Raw genomic sequence first — 16,592 nt, 5'->3', positions numbered from 1 at the left:
GGTGGCTCAGCCACAGCCATTTCCCAGGATGTGGGTGGAAGCCGGGGCCCTTCCCCAGTGCTCTCACTGACTCCACCCTCCGATCTCCTGTCTCAGGGACTCAGTGGCCGCTTGGCCCCTCCAGTCGCCAGCCTGTCTGCCGGGCTCTCACGCCTGATGCAGAGATAAACACATCCCACGATAGTATTGTTTCCCATTTCCCACAGCTCTCAAGTGAGATCTTAGAGGGTGGGATTAGCTGGGCATTTGGGCAGTTTCAGGGCTTGGAAGGGTTGAGAGAGGCTGTTCCCAGAGCTGGCCGGTCCCCAGTCTCTAAAGGCAGTGGAGGTGGCCAGGTGTGCAGGGAAGAGGTGAGGGGAGCGGCTGGGGCCCGAGTCTCTGGAACATTCTGCCACCATCTCCCTACACCACACACAGGCATATTGAGTCTAACAAGGAGGAAGTGTGGAGAAATAGTACGCCCTTCTCCACAGTCAATTCTCTCCCTACACCCAGATCAGAGCCTCTGGCCCCTGTATTCCCTCAGGTGGCTGATCCAACTATCAAGATGTCACCAGGGAATGGGAAACCCAGAGCCCTTGGCAGAGAGAGCCTGCAGCGCCCAGAACCCAGGCCCGGGGCAAGCTGGGCAGGCCGGAGGGAGGGCAGTCTGGGGAGATGGAGTGTCCAGGCTCGTGCTTACTTCATCGTTATGATCGTTATGGGTAGAGTCAGCCAGGGGAGAGAGGCCTTCCTCTCCCAGCCAGGGCGCGCCCCTCCTTTCCACCCCACTCCCCAGTACTCCCAGTACAGCCACTCTCATGACCTCACTGCTACGGCCAGGCCAGGCCAGGCAGGTGGCCACGAGCCAGGGACCCGCCAAAATCCACATCCCCCAGAGACCATCGTGAGCCAGGCAGGGGCAGGATGTGTTGCTAGAATAGCCTCCACCCACCCAAACCAACGCCCGCGAAGACAGCCTGTCCTACCAAGTGTTTACTCCAGCCAGGCAGACTCACCTCCCTCTCAACAAGGCTGAACCTAGGGCAGTCCTTCACTATGGACCCTGTCTGTCAGCCAGACACATCCCACCTCCTCCTCCTCCCCTGCTAAATCCTGCTCGGCTGTCCTGTCCTTCCCTGAGTGACTTACCGGCCTCTCACCTCTCCACCATTTTGCAGTGATGGTAGTGGGGGTAGAGGGGTTGTGATGGAGATGGTGACATGGACACAGAAGTACTGGTCGTGACAGCCATTATAGCAGTTTCAGGGTGGTGATGGTAACAGTGAAGGGGATGATGGTGAAGGTGATGGCGGTGGTGATGGAGGTGGCAATGATGGAGACAGCGATGGTGGTGGAGGGAGTGATGTGATTGTCATAGTGGGAATGAGGTGAGTAGGGATGCCTCCCTCTGTAGGGTACAGGACCATGAAGAAACCGTTGGCCATGTCACTGAGGCCTACAGGAACATCGTGGTGAGTCGAGATTTTCTAGGGCATCCAGCACAGCAGGCCCCCAGAGCAGTAATGGCCTCTTCCCCTGTTTCCCAGTAGAGCATCATTATGTTCCCCTCTCAGACTCCTGGAGACCCCTCCAACTTGAAAGCAAGTGTCATCTGCCCTGGAATCTACTGGGGCCACCCTTGAAAGAAGGTGGACAGAGGCCAGGCTTGGGAGACAGAGGATCCTGGGTTGGAATCCTAACTAAATGGAGTTCACTTGGGTCTGAACCTCACTGTAAAATGGAAACCATAATTCTCTGTGGCAGGGTCATTGTGAGGATAGAGATAAATATCTTTAAAAGTGCCTGGCACAGAATAGTGGCAAGATAAATGGTCAATATTTTGTATCCTGTTTTCCAAGGCTTTCTTATGAAGCCTCCACCTACCCACTCCCCCCACCCCAACCCTCCTCCATATGCCTCCCTGTCTTCATTTTCTAGAGCTGCCGAAACAAATGACCACAAACTTGGTGGCTTAGAACAACAGAAATTTATTTTCTCACAGTTCTGGAGGCCAGAAGTCTGAAATTGAGATGCCAGCAGGGCCAAGTTCCTGTCCAGCTTCTGGTGGCTCAAAGCATTCCTTGGCTGTGGGCTCCAGTCTCTGACACCACCTTCACATGCGTCTTCACACGGCTGTCCCCACCACGTCTCTCAGTGTTTTTACTTGTTTCTTAGGAGGACGCTTTCACTGGATTTGGGGCCCACACTAATCCAGCGTGATCGCATCTCAATCCTCACCTTCATTACCTCTGCAAAGATCCTATCTCCAAATAAGGTCCCATGCTCAGGTTCCAGGTGGGCATAAACTTTGGGGGTCTCTATTCAATCCACTACATTCCCCAACCTCAGAGTGAGCCAAGCTTAATTCCCCAGACTCCCTATTACCTGGCACAGCCATGGTCCCTGCCCAAGCCTGCTTCCAGACCCCCACCCCTCTGCCCCTGCATGTCCCAGGTCCCGTGGCCCTGCGCCTGGGCTCCCCAGTGCCATGCGTGCATGCCTATGTGCATGTGCACAGATTCCCCCTTCACTTGGCGGTGAGAAAGGGGGATTCTAGGCTTCAGCAGGAGCCTACAGGGGCCTCTCTGCTCGGAAATGCTTCTTCCTCTCCCCCTGGCAGCTGTTTGGCTTGGCGGGGGCCCATCTGGCAGGCTCAGCAGCCAAGGAGCCCTAGGGGGCAGTGGGAGGGAATGGTGAGGGGCAGGCAGCTCCGTAGTCCTCAGGCCCAGGCCCTGGGAGCTGGGCCAATGGCGGGCCTCCCTGCTGGCTGGCTCCAGCCCCTTCGCTCTTGGTTCTCCTCCTCCCTGGTCTCCCGTCCTCCCCATCCTGTAAAGGGGAATTCTGGAGACCCTCCACCACCCTGCACTAGCCAAGGAGAAGACGTGCAGAAGAGGAGCAGCAACTGGCAAAGCAAGAAACACACCCAGGGAAAGGGCAGTCAGTGGCTCCTGAGGATCCGCTCATGGGGGCTCTGGATACTCTTTGAGGGCACCCTAGGACAACCTGGACTTCTCCCAACCTCTGATATTCTGTCCTCTGCTCCTTCCATGTTCCTGAAATTTCCTGTCCCTGGTGTCCCCTCCAGGGCACTTGCCTTCTTCCAGGGCCCCTCTGAACCCCCAAGCTGTTGCCTACTTTTCTGGGTCAGGCCTCTCTTCAGTAAGCAGGACAGAAAATGATGCCCTCAGCCCCTAGCAGGTCCTACAACCTCTTTCTACTGATGGGAAAATGTAAAACACATGCGCACACACGCACACACACACACACACACACACAGGGAGGGGCACAGGATAATGAGCCTGGGCTTTAGGGTTCATTTGGCCTGGGTTCAAGTTGCAACCCTGCACTTGACACCTGTGTGATCCTGGACAGGTAACTTAGCCTCTCTGAGCCTTGATATAGCCTCATAAAAGTAAGACTACTCATAGCTAACTTCCAGGGTTGCAAGGATAAAATTGCATAGCCTCTGAAATAAGGTAGGTATTCTCTAAATGACAACAACTTCCTATGTGCCAGGCACTGCATTAAGCACTTTGCATAGATTATCTCATTTAATACTAATAATAACTTTATGAAATAGAAACTATTTCATGGCTAAGGAAGCTGAGCAGTTTGCTTTGGGTCCCAGAACTGGTTGAGAGATTGAGCTGAGATTTGATTCTAAGCGCTGTGAATCCAAACCCTGCACTCGAAACTACCATGCTCTGTTGCCTATGCTACTGGCAGTGTAGACATGGTAGATGGTGTTAGTATTAATACCACAGAGAGCAGCTGGGCTGCAGGGGTTTTCCCGGGGCCCCTGCAGGTGCAGCTTGGAGGTCAACCTTACCCTGCACACAGATTTGCATGCAGCTTGAAAGTCGGGATCTGCCTGGCTGCCTTAGTAATTCTGGAGTCCTGGACACGAGGGCCAACCCATCCCAGTCACAGGAGACCACTGAAACTGAAGCTCCCAAGGCTCTCGTGCCTTGGCACATCTGGAAGCTATTAGCCTCCTTTCTACCACCTACCCCCTCAACCCCGCCCCCCAGCCAGCTGTTCACAGTGGCTAATTCTGGGAAGTGCCCCTCAGCCAGTGGCTGCCTGCAGGGGAGCGGGGAGGGGGGTTCCTCACCAACACATCCATGGGGTGGAGGGGAGGTGGGCAGGCAGCAGAGGGTTAATCTGAGTAACTACAGCTGCTGGTCTCCTCCCCCAACCCACAGATAGATAGCCAGTGGGGTTACTCCTGGTTGAGTAATGAGGAGGGAAGAGAGCGGGAGGAGGCAGGGGTGAGTGTGGAGGGAGACCAAGGAGCAGAGACTGAGAAAATGTTTCTGCTGGCAAAGATCTTTAAAAGGTCATCTGATATTGTCCATCCCCCTGTTTCCTGGGGGTCACGGTGACCTCATGGTGTAGTGGAAAGAGGGCAGTCTTTGTAGTTGAGCAAAGCTGGGTCACAATCCTGACTCCGTCGCTGTCAGTCTGTACAACCTTGAGCAAGGTCCTTACCCTCTCCAGGCCTAAGCAGCCTCATTTGTGCAATGGGAGAACAGCACCCCTCTGGCAAGGCTGCCAAGAGAGTTCTGGGAGATACAGTCTGGTCCATGCCCAAAAACATTCGCTCCCTCATCTCTAAGAGCGGCAAGAAGCTTCGAGAGAGGTCTTCCCTTGGTTCCACTACCTGCCTCACTTTCTGGGATCTCACCGTCTAGATCCTGAATCCAGCACACCCATCTTACTGTGAGGCCTGCCGTCAAAGCCATGCCCTGCCTAGAGACTTGACTTGCCCTCCTCTCTGCCCAGCGCTGCCCTCCTCACTTTCTAAACTTGCTGAAGACCCCCACCGCCGGCACTGACAGCTCCCACTGGCTCCAATTGTCCCAAACCTCCCTCCACCCCGTAGTACCTGTGTCATTCAGGAGGTTATCTGACATCTCTGAACTCAGTTATCCTGGGGGTTAAATGTCGCTGCTGCAAAAATGCCTCCTTATATACTACTGCGCGTAATCTTCATAGCAATTCTTGAAAATAAGATCTAACCACAATTTTGTATATCGAGAGGGAAGAACAGATGCTAACTTTTTTTTTGTTTTTCAGATTTGAGACAGGATGTCACTCTGTCACCAAGGCTGGAGTGCAGTGGTGCAATCTGCTCACTGCATGCAAACTTCACCTCCTGGGCTCAAACAATCCTCCCATCTCAGCCTCCCAAGTAGCTGGGATTACAGGTGCATGCCACCACACCTGACTTTTTTTTTTTTTTTTTTTTGAGGTGAAGTTTCATTCTTGTTGCCTAGGCTGGAGTGCTGGGGTATAATCTTGGCTCACTGCAACCTCCGCCTCCCGGGTTCAAGTGATTCTCCTGCCTCAGCCTCCCGAATAGCTGGGATTGCAGGCACCCACCACCACATCCAGCTAATTTTTTTTTTTTTTTTTTTGAGACGGAGTCTCGCTCTGTCGCCCAGGCCAGACTGCGGACTGCAGTGGCGCAATCTCGGCTCACTGCAAGCTCCGCTTCCCAGGTTCACGCCATTCTCCTGCCTCAGCCTCCGAGTAGCTGGGACTACAGGCGCCCGCCACCGCGCCCAGCTAATTTTTTGTATTTTTAGTAGAGACGGGGTTTCACCTTGTTAGCCAGGATGGTCTCGATCTCCTGACCTCATGATCCACCCGCCTCGGCCTCCCAAAGTGCTGGGATTACAGGCGTGAGCCACCGCGCCCGGCCAATTTTTGTATTTTTAGTAGAGATGGGGTTCCACCACGTTGGCCAGGCTGGTCTTGAACTCCTGACCTCAGGTGATCCACCCACCCCAACCTCCCAAAGTGCTGGGATTATAGGCGTGAGCCATGGCACCTGGCCGATGCTAACATTTATTAAAGACTTGCTGCACACCAAGCCATGGACTGGGCCTGAGAGAAAAGCTGAGGAAATCCTGGATTTTCCCCTTAGAAGACTTTAATACTTGAAGAATTTTAATAAATGAAGAACTGGTTAGTATCTCCTACTGGTGCTACTGCGCAAAGGGCCTGTGTCCCCAGGCAACCAGACAGCCTCCCCCTCATTATCCTGGCTGGGACACAGAGAACAGCTGCTGAGCCCTAACCCAAGGGGCTGTTCCGTCACCTGCAATTGGGTGGCCCCTACACCCCCTTTCACAAGTCATTCCCCTTCCTGTTGCCCGACAAGCTCTAGTCCCTCTGGAGCAATGAAATCACATCCCACATGCTCCTAGCCTCCATTCTTAGCTTTTCCTCGAATCCACACCCGCTTAACCCATTTGATGACTGATCTGCAGGAGCCAATCCAGGTTAGTTCTTTGCCGTTATTTAACCACTGTTCACTGAGTGCTTCTTCCGTGCTAGGCACTGTCTACTATCTCTTTTGTTTGTTTGTTTGTTTTTGTTGTTGTTTTTTGTTTTTTTGAGACAGAGTCTTGCTCTGTCACCCAGGCTGGGGCGCAACGGTGCAATCTCAGCTCACTACAGCCTCCACCTCCCAGTTTCAAGTGATCCTCCTGCCTCAGCCCCCTGAGTAGCTGGGATTACAGGCGTGTGCCACAATGCCCAGCTAATTTTTGTATTTGTAGTAGAGATGGGATTTCGCCATGTTGGTCAGGCTGGTCTCAAACTTCTGACCTCAGGTGATCTGCCTGCCTCAGCCTCCCAAAGTGCTGGGACTACAGGCATGAGCCACCTGTCCAGCCTCTACTATCTCATTGAACACTATACACACACACAAACACACACACACACACACACACACACACACACACACAGAGTAACCCCAAAATGAGTATTATTATGTCAATCTTACAAATGAGGACACCAAGCCTCAGAAGCAGTCCCACCCCAAATCCTGCCCAGTCCTAGTCCATGGGAACAGCACCCACCTGCCTTGGGAAGGGCACAGCAGCAGCCCTGCTCAAGTGGTAAGTTCACCCAGATCAAAGGATTCCAGACTTGAATAGTCAGCCATCTAGGCATCAGCCCACCAGCCCATCTCAGACTCAACATGGCCAAAACCAAACCTCTGATCTTTTCCTTCAAACGTGCTTCATCCACAGCTTCCCTATCTCCACTAATAGCAACTCTATCCTTCCAACAGCTCGGGCCAGCAATCTTGGATCCACCTTTGACACCTCTCCCTCTCACCTTCAACCATCAAGAAATCTTGTTGGCTCGACCCTTGAAATATATTCAGGACCCACCACTCCCAGCCACCTCCACCGCTTGCACCAAGCTCCCAGCCCCTCTCTCCTGGACTACTTCAGTCTTCCTGCAGGTTTCCCTCCTGCCCTGGGACCCTACAGTCTACTCTCCACTTAGTAACCAGAGTTCTATTTGACTCTTTTTAAGCCAACCACATCCCTCCTCTGCCCAACCCACCCCAGTGACTCCCTTCCCACTCACAGGAAAAGCCAGGACCTCACAATGGCCTTCAGAACCACACCATCTGACCTCAGCCCCCTTCCTCTCCACCCCCTACTCTCCTCGGTCCCTCTGCTCCAGCCACACTGGCCTCAAACCCTCAAGGCACGCTCCTGCCTCACGGCCTTTGCTCCAGCTGTTTTCTTTGCCTTGAACGCTCTTCCCCCAAATATCATCATGGCTCACTCCCTCATATCCCTTTAGCTTTTGATCCTAAATCTCTCTACCCTTACCAAACTATTTATTTCTGTAACCACACTTCCCTTGACACTCTGTCTTCTCTCCTTATCTTAGTCAACTCTTATTTTCCAAAGCCTTTATCAGCCTCTAATATGCCCTATAATTTACTTATTTTTATGCGTTCCTCTTTATCTCCTCTCTCACCCACTAGAATGTCAAATCTATGTGGGCAGGCAAATCTGTGTTGTTCATTGTGGTATCCCAAATACCTGGAATTATGCTTGACACATAGTAGGTGTTTAATAAACATTTTTTGAAAGAATGAGGCAACTGAGCTGGTATGTATCCTGAGGATGCATTTGGGAAAGCACAAGTGAATTTGTTCTTTCACTAAACATTTTTGGAGGGCTCTCTTCTGTGTCAGGCCCTGTACTGAGCCCAGAAGAATGATTAGGAGTAGATGTGGTCCCTTCTCCCGAGACTCGTCAGCCAAAAGAAGACACAAGCACCACCTCCAGCAAGGGATGAGGGGCCAGCCAACTTAATGCAGTCATCATTGAGCACACAGCATATGGGAGGCCCCTTGCTGAGAGATCATTTTTGCCTTGCCCTTAAAATGGTTTCATATTTGAAAACGCCTTCACAGCCATATCTCCTGGGACCCTCACCATCACCTCGCAGACATTAGTCTCCCTGCCTTCCTCCTCCTTTCCTTCCACCCTCCCTTCCTCCCTCCCTCCATTTCTTCTCTCCTTTCTTCTTTTCTTTCAGAAAACTTACTGGACACCCGCTCCATTCACAGCCCAGCAAGGTGGAGGTTATAAGGTACCAATATGGCCGGGTGAGATGGCTCATGCCTGTGATCCCAGCACTTTGGGAGGCCAAGGCAGGCAGATCACCTGAGGTCAGGAGTTTGAGACCAGCCTGGCCAACATGGTGAAACCCTGTCTCTACTAAATATACAAAAATTAGCCGGGCATGGTGGTGGGTACTTGTAATCCCAGCTACTTGGGAGGCTGGGGCGGGAGAGTCATTTAGAACCTGGGAGGCGGGGGTTGCAGTGAGCCAAGATCACACCACTGCACTCCAGCCTGGGCAACAAAAGTGAAACTCCATCTCAAAAAAAAAAAAAAAAGGTACCAATGTGGTTCCAGAGTCCAAGGGGATTAAAAACTGCAGCCTTGATTTCAATAACAAAACCAAGCTGTTAGATAAGGAACAGAGCGAGCTTTAGGCCCAGAGAGCAGGCAGGCTGAGTCAAAGATACAGGGAGCTCTTGTGGAGAAAGTACGGAGATCTGAGCCAGACCTTTTTTTTTTTTTTAAGGGAATTTTCAGATATTCCAAGGTAGAAAAGAGGAAGGAAAAGGGCGCCAGGTGGAAGGACCGGCTTGAACAAAGGCTTGGAGAGAATGAACCCAGCATGAAGGGCACCAATCTTGTTGGAACAGGAAGGTCATTTGAAGGGTGATGGGATGCAAGGAGCACCTGCAAGTGACAAGTGTGAAGGTCAACAGCTGGACCTCGCAGCTGTACTGGCCACAGGGACAACAGGCAGTGTAGCAAGCACTGGCTCTGGACTCACATAGACCTGGGTTCAAATCCTGGCCAAGTCTTTTGGGCCAGTCACTTTCTCTTGGCCTTGGATTTCTCACCTCTAAAAGAGTGAAAATAATCCCCAGCTCACAGAGTGTTTAGAGGATTAAATGAGATGATATATATGAAAAGCTCTTGCATCGTACCTCATAGACATTCTTTTCCTAATGTTTACTGATTCTGAGAAAATGAAGGCAGTGGGTGTGAACCACTCATTCAAGTGGTTTAGTCACGGAAGGAGGGAAACATATTGCACAATGTCCAGAAAGTGCAGACCAGGGTCAAGGGAGGCTCTTTCTAAGTTGAGGAGACCTGTGGGTGTTTGAAAGCTGAGCAGAATGGGTGCTGCCAAAAGATGGGCTGGTAAGGAAAACGCTCTAAAACGGATTGTGTGGCAGTTGCACAAGTCTGTGAATACACTGAAACCACTGAATTGTACACTTTCAGTGGGTGAGTTGGGAGATATGTGAATTATATCTCAATAAAGCTGTTTAAAACTAAAAAAGACAGGCTGGATAAACTACAAGTTCCTTTGGGAGTCAGGAAGGAGAGGGGGAAGAGGGGAAGGAGGGGGAGGAGGGGGAGGAGGGAGACTTGGGTGAGGGCCAGACAGAGAATAGAGGATGATGTAGCTTTCATCCAAGACACAGAATGGTAGGCTGGTGGCCTCACTCATTGGTCCCACAAACTTGATGGGTGCCTACTGCATGCCAGGCCCTGTGCCAAAAGGACTGAGATGACCTAGAATTGCCCACAGCCCCCAGGCCAGCCCAATATGAGCAGAGCCATGCAGAGCTATGGGCAGTAAAGAGTGTGGGAAGTGGCCACGCACAGTGGTAATCCCAGCACTTTGGGAGGCCGAGGTGGGCAGATCACCTGAGGTCAGGAGTTCAAGACCAGCTTGGCCAAAATGAAAAAACCTCATCTCTACAAAAATACAAATATTAGCAGGGTGTGGTAGTGCATGCCTATAGTCCCAGCTGCTCAGGAGGCTGAGGCAGGAGAATCGCTTGAACCTGGGAGGCAGAAATTGCAGTAAGCCGAGATCACACCACTGCACTCCAGCCTCGGCCACAGAGCAAGACTCTGTGTCAAAAAATAAATAAATAAATAAATAAATAAATAAAGCAGGCATGGTGGCTCACGCCTGTAATCCCAGCACTTTGGGAGGCCGAGGCGGGTGGATCTCCTGAGGTCAGGAGTTTGAGACCAGCCTGGCCAACATGATGAAACCCTGTCTCTACTAAAAATACAAAATTTAGCTGGGCATGGTGGCGGGCACCTGTAATCCCAGCTACTCGGGAGGCTGAGGCAGGAGAACCATTTGAACCCGGGAGGCAGAGGTTGCAGTGAGCCAAGATCGCGCCATTGCACTCCAGCCTGTGGGACAAGAGCAAGACTCCGTCTCAAAATAAATAAATAAATAAAGTCTGGTGAGCGCCCAGGCAGGAAGGGAGGAGCTGCCACCCTGCTCCATCCCTGGGTCTTTACCTGTGCAGTGGGTGTGGCCTCTGGGTCTGAGACAGACCCACGGGGTGATCAGACCTGCAGCAAGAGTAGTTGAAAGTGCCCCATCCTTGGATGAGGTCAGAAAGTCCTGAAGCCATCACTACCAAGTCTCTATCATTACACCTCAGCAGGAGATGCTGAGAGCATTTATGGAGTCCTCATTGTGTACACAGTTCTACCCTGCATGTGGTTTCTTTGTGTTTCTTGAGTAAATGCTCTCCCTGCTGCCCCAAAAACACTGTGGGTGGGCCCTGCTTATCTGGTAAAGTGATGCTGCTGATGACAGGTGGGGAGAGAGGAACTAATGGGCCTGGAGACAGGGCAAGGAGCCAGTTCAGGCCACAGAAACACCACCGAGGGGACAAACCACAGTTGGAGAGAGTATTAAGAGAGTCAACATCAGGGGGCTGCAAGACACATCCCAGACCCACCTGTAATATCAGAGGGTCTGCCTGTCTGCAGGCACCAGGCTGCCCCACCACTCTTCTGGCGGAATCACAGCCATTCTCTTCATCCCCAGAGCCACACCCCTGCTGACTCCTGCCCCTGCCTCGCTGTGGCCCCTCCGAGCCCATCAGGCAAACTGAGGCAGTGTGTTGGAGGGAGGACCTAAAGGGTTTCTGGGTTCTAGCCCTGGCTCTGCCACCAATGAGCTGAGTGACATCCCCCTGGGCTCAGTCTCCTCAGCAGTGTAGAGAGGTGGAATGCGTGAAGGGTAAGAGCATAGGCCCCAGACAAGCTCCTGGGGTTTCAGTCCCAGCGCTTTGCGTACCGGCTTTGTGAACCTGGCTGTATCTTCTTTGCATCTCGGTTTCTTCAAATAGTGTGAGGATTAAATGAGTTAATAGATAAAAAGCACTTGGAATGCTACAGAGCATGCAAGGCTCAATAAATTTTAACTCTGTATTATTATGACTCTAAGGAGGAGTACTCAGTGGTCTCTGAGGCCCCTTCCGGCTGTGGCATTCTATGACCTTGAATTCTGCCTGTACTATTATCTTTGTCTGAATTTCTAATTAGGCACCACATGTTGCCATTATTTGAGCAACCCGGGCATCTCCAATCTGGATGACTTCTTGACCTTGGGCCTCCTTGACTTACCCTTTCCTGTAACACCCAGTAGGAAGGCTGGTGCCCCCACCCATAGACTGTGGAAGGTGCCAAGCCCTTCTCAGCGCTTCTGAGGGCTAAACCTGGGGGTTCTCCCAAGCCTTTCCTCACGGAAGCCCTCTGCTTTATGGCAATCTGCCCCTAAGCCCACATCTATGCGTCAGACTTTCCTGAAGGTTCACTGTATGGTGGGAAACCGCAGCACAGAGCAGGAAGCAAGTTCAACACCAAGGTGAAACAACAGGAGTCCGGGTAAATAAACCCTGGTACGTCTACATAGTGGAACACCGTGCAGCTGTAAAAAATCACAATAATGAGGGGACAGTTGGCACTGGGAAGATGGTAGCTGGGTTCAAAACCACGGAACCTCTGGTAATTACAGGAGATTTCTGAAAGAGATCTGCCTTGCTGATGAAAGAGAACTTGGTGAATTCAGAACCACAACTGTCAACACAGGTTCAATTAGTACTGCAGTCGGTTCTCCTTTAGTGAAGCTGGGAAATACTACAGTAATGTGTAAGGTTAAAGCAGAGTTTGCAGCACCATCCACAGATGCTTCCATAAAGGATCTGTGGCTCCCACTGGGGCTCTGCCACCCTTGTGTTCCACTGAGATTTCAGTCTGGACCTCCTGGAGAAGAGATCCAAGCCACTAGCCAGATCACTGAAGATATCACTGAAAATTCACAGATAATTCAGAAAAGGAATTTATGCATTTCTCCAGGAAAGCGTGCTTGAATTCTATGCTATGATCTCATTCGCCTCTCTCATTTGCCTATTATGGAAGCATTTTGGATGCCTGCACATTTGCTTTGTAAGCAGCTTTTTAAAATGTACAGTTGCCTGAAGTTGCTAGAAAGAGACTATTTTAGCAGAAGTTAAGAAGAGAAGTTATTTGAATACTAGAACTTACCCAGCTGCAACTTCCTTTGCCGTGTTTGATGACACTTTGCTCATAGCTGACCTGACTGGAGAGGAGGAACATCTGGCAACTGGAATCTTAATAACAGTAATGGAAGAGGAAGCAGGCTCTGGTGTCCTCACCAAGCAGGTAAAAGTGGGCTGACTGGAGCTAGACTCCAGGACTAGATGAACCGAGCTGTTACAAGACACAAAGCTATTTAAAATGCAATGGATGAAGTAAATAGTATGAAACCCGAAGAAATGACCACCACATTTTCAAAGCAGATTTGTAAAAATTGTATTTGTTACACTGTGCACAAAACTTTTATACTATTAGCTGGGCGTGATAGTGCACGCCTGTAGTCCCAGCTACTCAGGAGGCTGGGGCGGAAGGGTTGCCTGAGCCCAGGAGGCAGAGGTTGCAGTAAGCCAAGATCTGCACTCAGACACTGTCTCAAAAAAAAAAAAAAAGAAAATTTTATACTCAATAAATATCAAACTACATTCTTCTGAAATATAGTTCTAGTATTTCTAGATGTTTCTAGTGTTTATGGTCACTTCACACATATATTATGTACAGTGAAACCATTTTTTTTTTCCTTTTCTTTCTGAGGCAGGGTCTCGCTCTGTCACCCAGGCTGGAGAGCAATGGCTTAGGCAAACCAACCCTAGTATGTTAAACCATTTCCCTGTTATTATTTAAAAACCATAGGATTGTGCTTCTCTATAAAGTGTGTACATTTAGCAGTGTAAAATACTGACACATTAAAAAACAAAAACAGAGGCCGGGTGCAGTGGCTCATGCCTGTAATCCCAGCACTTTGGGATGCCGAGGCAGGCAGATCACCTGCGGTCAGGAGTTTGAGACCAATCTGGCCAACATGGCGAAACCTCGTCTCTACTAAAAGTACAAAAATTAGCCAGGCGTGGTGGTAGTGTGCCTGTAATCCCAGCTACTCAAGAGGCTGAGGCAGGAGAATTACTTGAACCCGGGAGGCGGAAAAGCTTGCAGTGAGCTGAGATCATGCCATTGTACTCCAGCCTGGATGACAGAGCGAGAATCCATCTCAAAAAAAGAAAAAGAAAACAAAACAAAACTAAACAAAAAAAAAACAGAAAAAATAACGAGGAAGCTCTTGCTGCTCATGGTATGCTCACTAAGTAAATACAGTGCTAAGCAAATGCTGAGTAAATACAAAGCTAGGTGCAGAATACTGTGAATGGCATATTTACCAAAGAAAGGGGGAGGGTGTGGGAGTGGGGGAAGTGAAAACATGTTGATATACATTTGCTGCGTATACCTAGAATATCTCTGGGAAACCACATAAGAATCTGGTGAGGGGAGAAGGGGAGGGAGACTTTTCATTATATATACTTTCACACTCTTAAAATTTTAAAAGGCCGGGTGCGGTGGCTCACGCCTGTAATCCCAGCACTTTGGGAGGCCGAGGTGGGCGGATCACGAGGTCAGGAGTTCGAGACCAGCCTGACCAACATAGTGAAACCCTGCCTCTACTAAAAACACAAAAATTAGCCGGGCGTGGTGGTGCGTGCCTGTAATCCCAGCTACTCAGGAGGCTGAAGCAGGAGAATCGCTTGAACCCGGGAGGCAGAGGTTGGAGTGAGCCGAGATCATGCCACTGCACTCCAGCCTGGGCAACAGAGTGAGACTCCATCTCAAAAAAAAAAAAAATTAAAATATGAAAATATACCACTACAAACAAAAATGCTTTTTAAAAATCAAGATGAGGCTTAATTCTGCCTGGAGATTTATTTGATGGTAGTCCTCACCCACTGGCCCTCTTCCGAGGGCCCCATCTCCACTCCTCTCTGGCCAGTTGTCTCAGAGATAGATGCCAGCTTCCTCAAATCTTATGCAAAATTATCACTGTCTTGACTTCATCTTCACATAGTCAAGCCATGCCTTTTTCGCACAAAGGGCCCATTGCTGTGATTTCCCCACAAAAGAATCATTTCCCCAAGAGGAACCATGCCATGTCCCTAGAAAGCAGAAAGAGTGACAGTATCCTCTGTATTAAACAGCCCTGAAGTGTTTCTGCCAGGTCTGTTTCCATGCTTGCCTCTTCCGGCCTGGATTGTGGGTCTTGAGAGCAAAAACCTGTTTTATGCATCTCTGGGTCCCCGGCTTCATAGGTGATTCCAAATGCACCACATCCCTTCTTCAATGCCTGGCACAGCATGGTTCACACAGAGGACCCCTAGTAAATGTTTACCAGGTTGAGTCGCTTTGGTGAGGTGTGTGAACATGGAGAGATAAGACAGAGGGTGGAAGTTGGGCCAGATCTGGAGCAGAGCCAGAGGGTAATTAATAAAAACAGCTCACATTTATTGAGCATTTTACTACTTGCCAGGTGCTCTTCTCAATGCCTTTCTGCATTAGCTCATATAATCTTCACAACAACCCTACCAAGCAAGTTCCATTATTATCCCCATTGTACAGATGAGGAAACTGAGGCACAGAGCGACTAAGAAACAGTGTGTTGTTCAAATACTGTCATGTTCTATGGGTGCCATGATGTATCTGTGGCTAGGAAGTAGTTTTCTAGAACGTGGCTTTAAATTAGACTCACTCGGGGATCTTCTAAAACTCCTGATGCTCAGGCCACAAACTACACCAATTAAATCAGCATCTCTGGAGGATGAAATTGTCAATGGTAGTTTTTAAAGCTCCCCGAAAGATTCCAAAGCGCAACTGAATTTGGGAACTAGGGATCTGGGCCAAATCCTTTAATCCTTTATAATTAACGCACATGGAGATGTCACGGCGCAGAGAGAAGTGATTGCACAGGGGCACACAGGAGGGCAGTGGCTGAACCTCTGTCCTCCAGTGCCCAAGGTAGGTCTTCTTCTGCACCCCCAGCCCCTTCCTCCATGTTGCTGTAGGCACTGAGCTGGCAGGCTGCTAGGCCCACATGGATCTTACAGGTCTTGGCTCAAGGCTGGCTTGGAGGAAGATCCCCAGGACAGGCTAACTGATCCCCCTCATCCCAACGTGCCCCCATTCAAGCAGCTCCACAGGCTGGATGCCTTAGGGCAGAGCCCAACCTGGAAATTCTCCAGGCTTGGACACCACCCTGGATTTAGACAGAGCTCAGGGAGACTCAGGATGGGTGGGGCTTGGGGCAAAACACCACGGGAGTTGTGCCACAGTCACAGGCAAAAGAGCCGGGGCAGGCCCAGAGGCTAATTTCCCTGACCCCGCCCTGTGGGGCCTGTGTACTCCCCTCCTCCTCTCCCCACCCTCTGATGACGCACTGACCCCGGCCCTCCCCCTCAGTTCCCTCACCCCTCATTGGGAGGTGACGGAAATTCATTTCTGGCGGCCTGAGGGCTGTCAGCAACTTGTTTTCATTCTAGGGTCTGGCTGGTCCAGATAGGTCCATCCGGGCCCTATGTCACACAGGGGACACACACACAAACACACACACACACACACACACACACAAACACACACATTCACACACCCCAAACAGAACCTCTGGAGGAAAAGAAGGGAGGCACTCCAGGGGTTCTGAGTCACGGGATTCAGGGCATTCATAGCCAAATGCCACTCTTGGGAAAGCGGTGGAGCAGTTCACAAGGAAAGTCAAAGAGGCTGGACAGGGAACCAGTTCTCCTGTAGTCTTCCTCCGCTCTCCTCTAGCCCAGTGGTTCTCAACCCTGGCTGCACATAGAACCATTTAAGGAGCCTTTAAAAAACGCTGCTGCCTGGGCTCCAGCCCTGAGAGAGTTCAATTCAACTGTTCTGTTTAACTCCGGGGAGAGGCCAGGCCATCATCTTTTAATTCCCTGGTTGATGCTGATGAGCAGCCAGGAATGAGAGCCCTTGCTGATGGAATCATCCAGGCAGGATGGATTCACTCCCAATCTCACTGGGCAGATG

General features: G+C 50.5%; 1 pseudogene, besides 3 other annotated features; it reads left to right on the top strand.

Annotated features, from left to right (window-relative positions):
• Positions 10,881–11,723: an enhancer, noted in NCBI's record as "NANOG-H3K4me1 hESC enhancer chr6:43674891-43675733 (GRCh37/hg19 assembly coordinates)". NCBI's record gives its function as "activates a minimal SCP1, AML or CMV promoter by ChIP-STARR-seq in naive and primed H9 embryonic stem cells {active_cell/tissue: H9 hESC(naive and primed)}" and the evidence as "EXISTENCE:reporter gene assay evidence [ECO:0000049][PMID:30033119]".
• On the top strand, positions 12,120–13,021 carry EXOSC8P1 (EXOSC8 pseudogene 1; annotated as a pseudogene).
• Positions 14,988–15,973: an enhancer, noted in NCBI's record as "H3K27ac-H3K4me1 hESC enhancer chr6:43670641-43671626 (GRCh37/hg19 assembly coordinates)". NCBI's record gives its function as "activates a minimal SCP1, AML or CMV promoter by ChIP-STARR-seq in naive H9 embryonic stem cells {active_cell/tissue: H9 hESC(naive)}" and the evidence as "EXISTENCE:reporter gene assay evidence [ECO:0000049][PMID:30033119]".
• Positions 15,786–15,885: a silencer, noted in NCBI's record as "silent region_17240". NCBI's record gives its function as "represses an Ori minimal core promoter by ATAC-STARR-seq in GM12878 lymphoblastoid cells {active_cell/tissue: GM12878}" and the evidence as "EXISTENCE:reporter gene assay evidence [ECO:0000049][PMID:35858748]".

Source organism: Homo sapiens, chromosome 6, assembly GCF_000001405.40.
Source record: "Homo sapiens chromosome 6, GRCh38.p14 Primary Assembly".
NCBI lineage: Eukaryota > Metazoa > Chordata > Mammalia > Primates > Hominidae > Homo > Homo sapiens.
The sequence above is the reverse complement of the archived record's forward strand: the minus strand, read 5'-3'. Positions and strand labels throughout refer to the sequence as shown.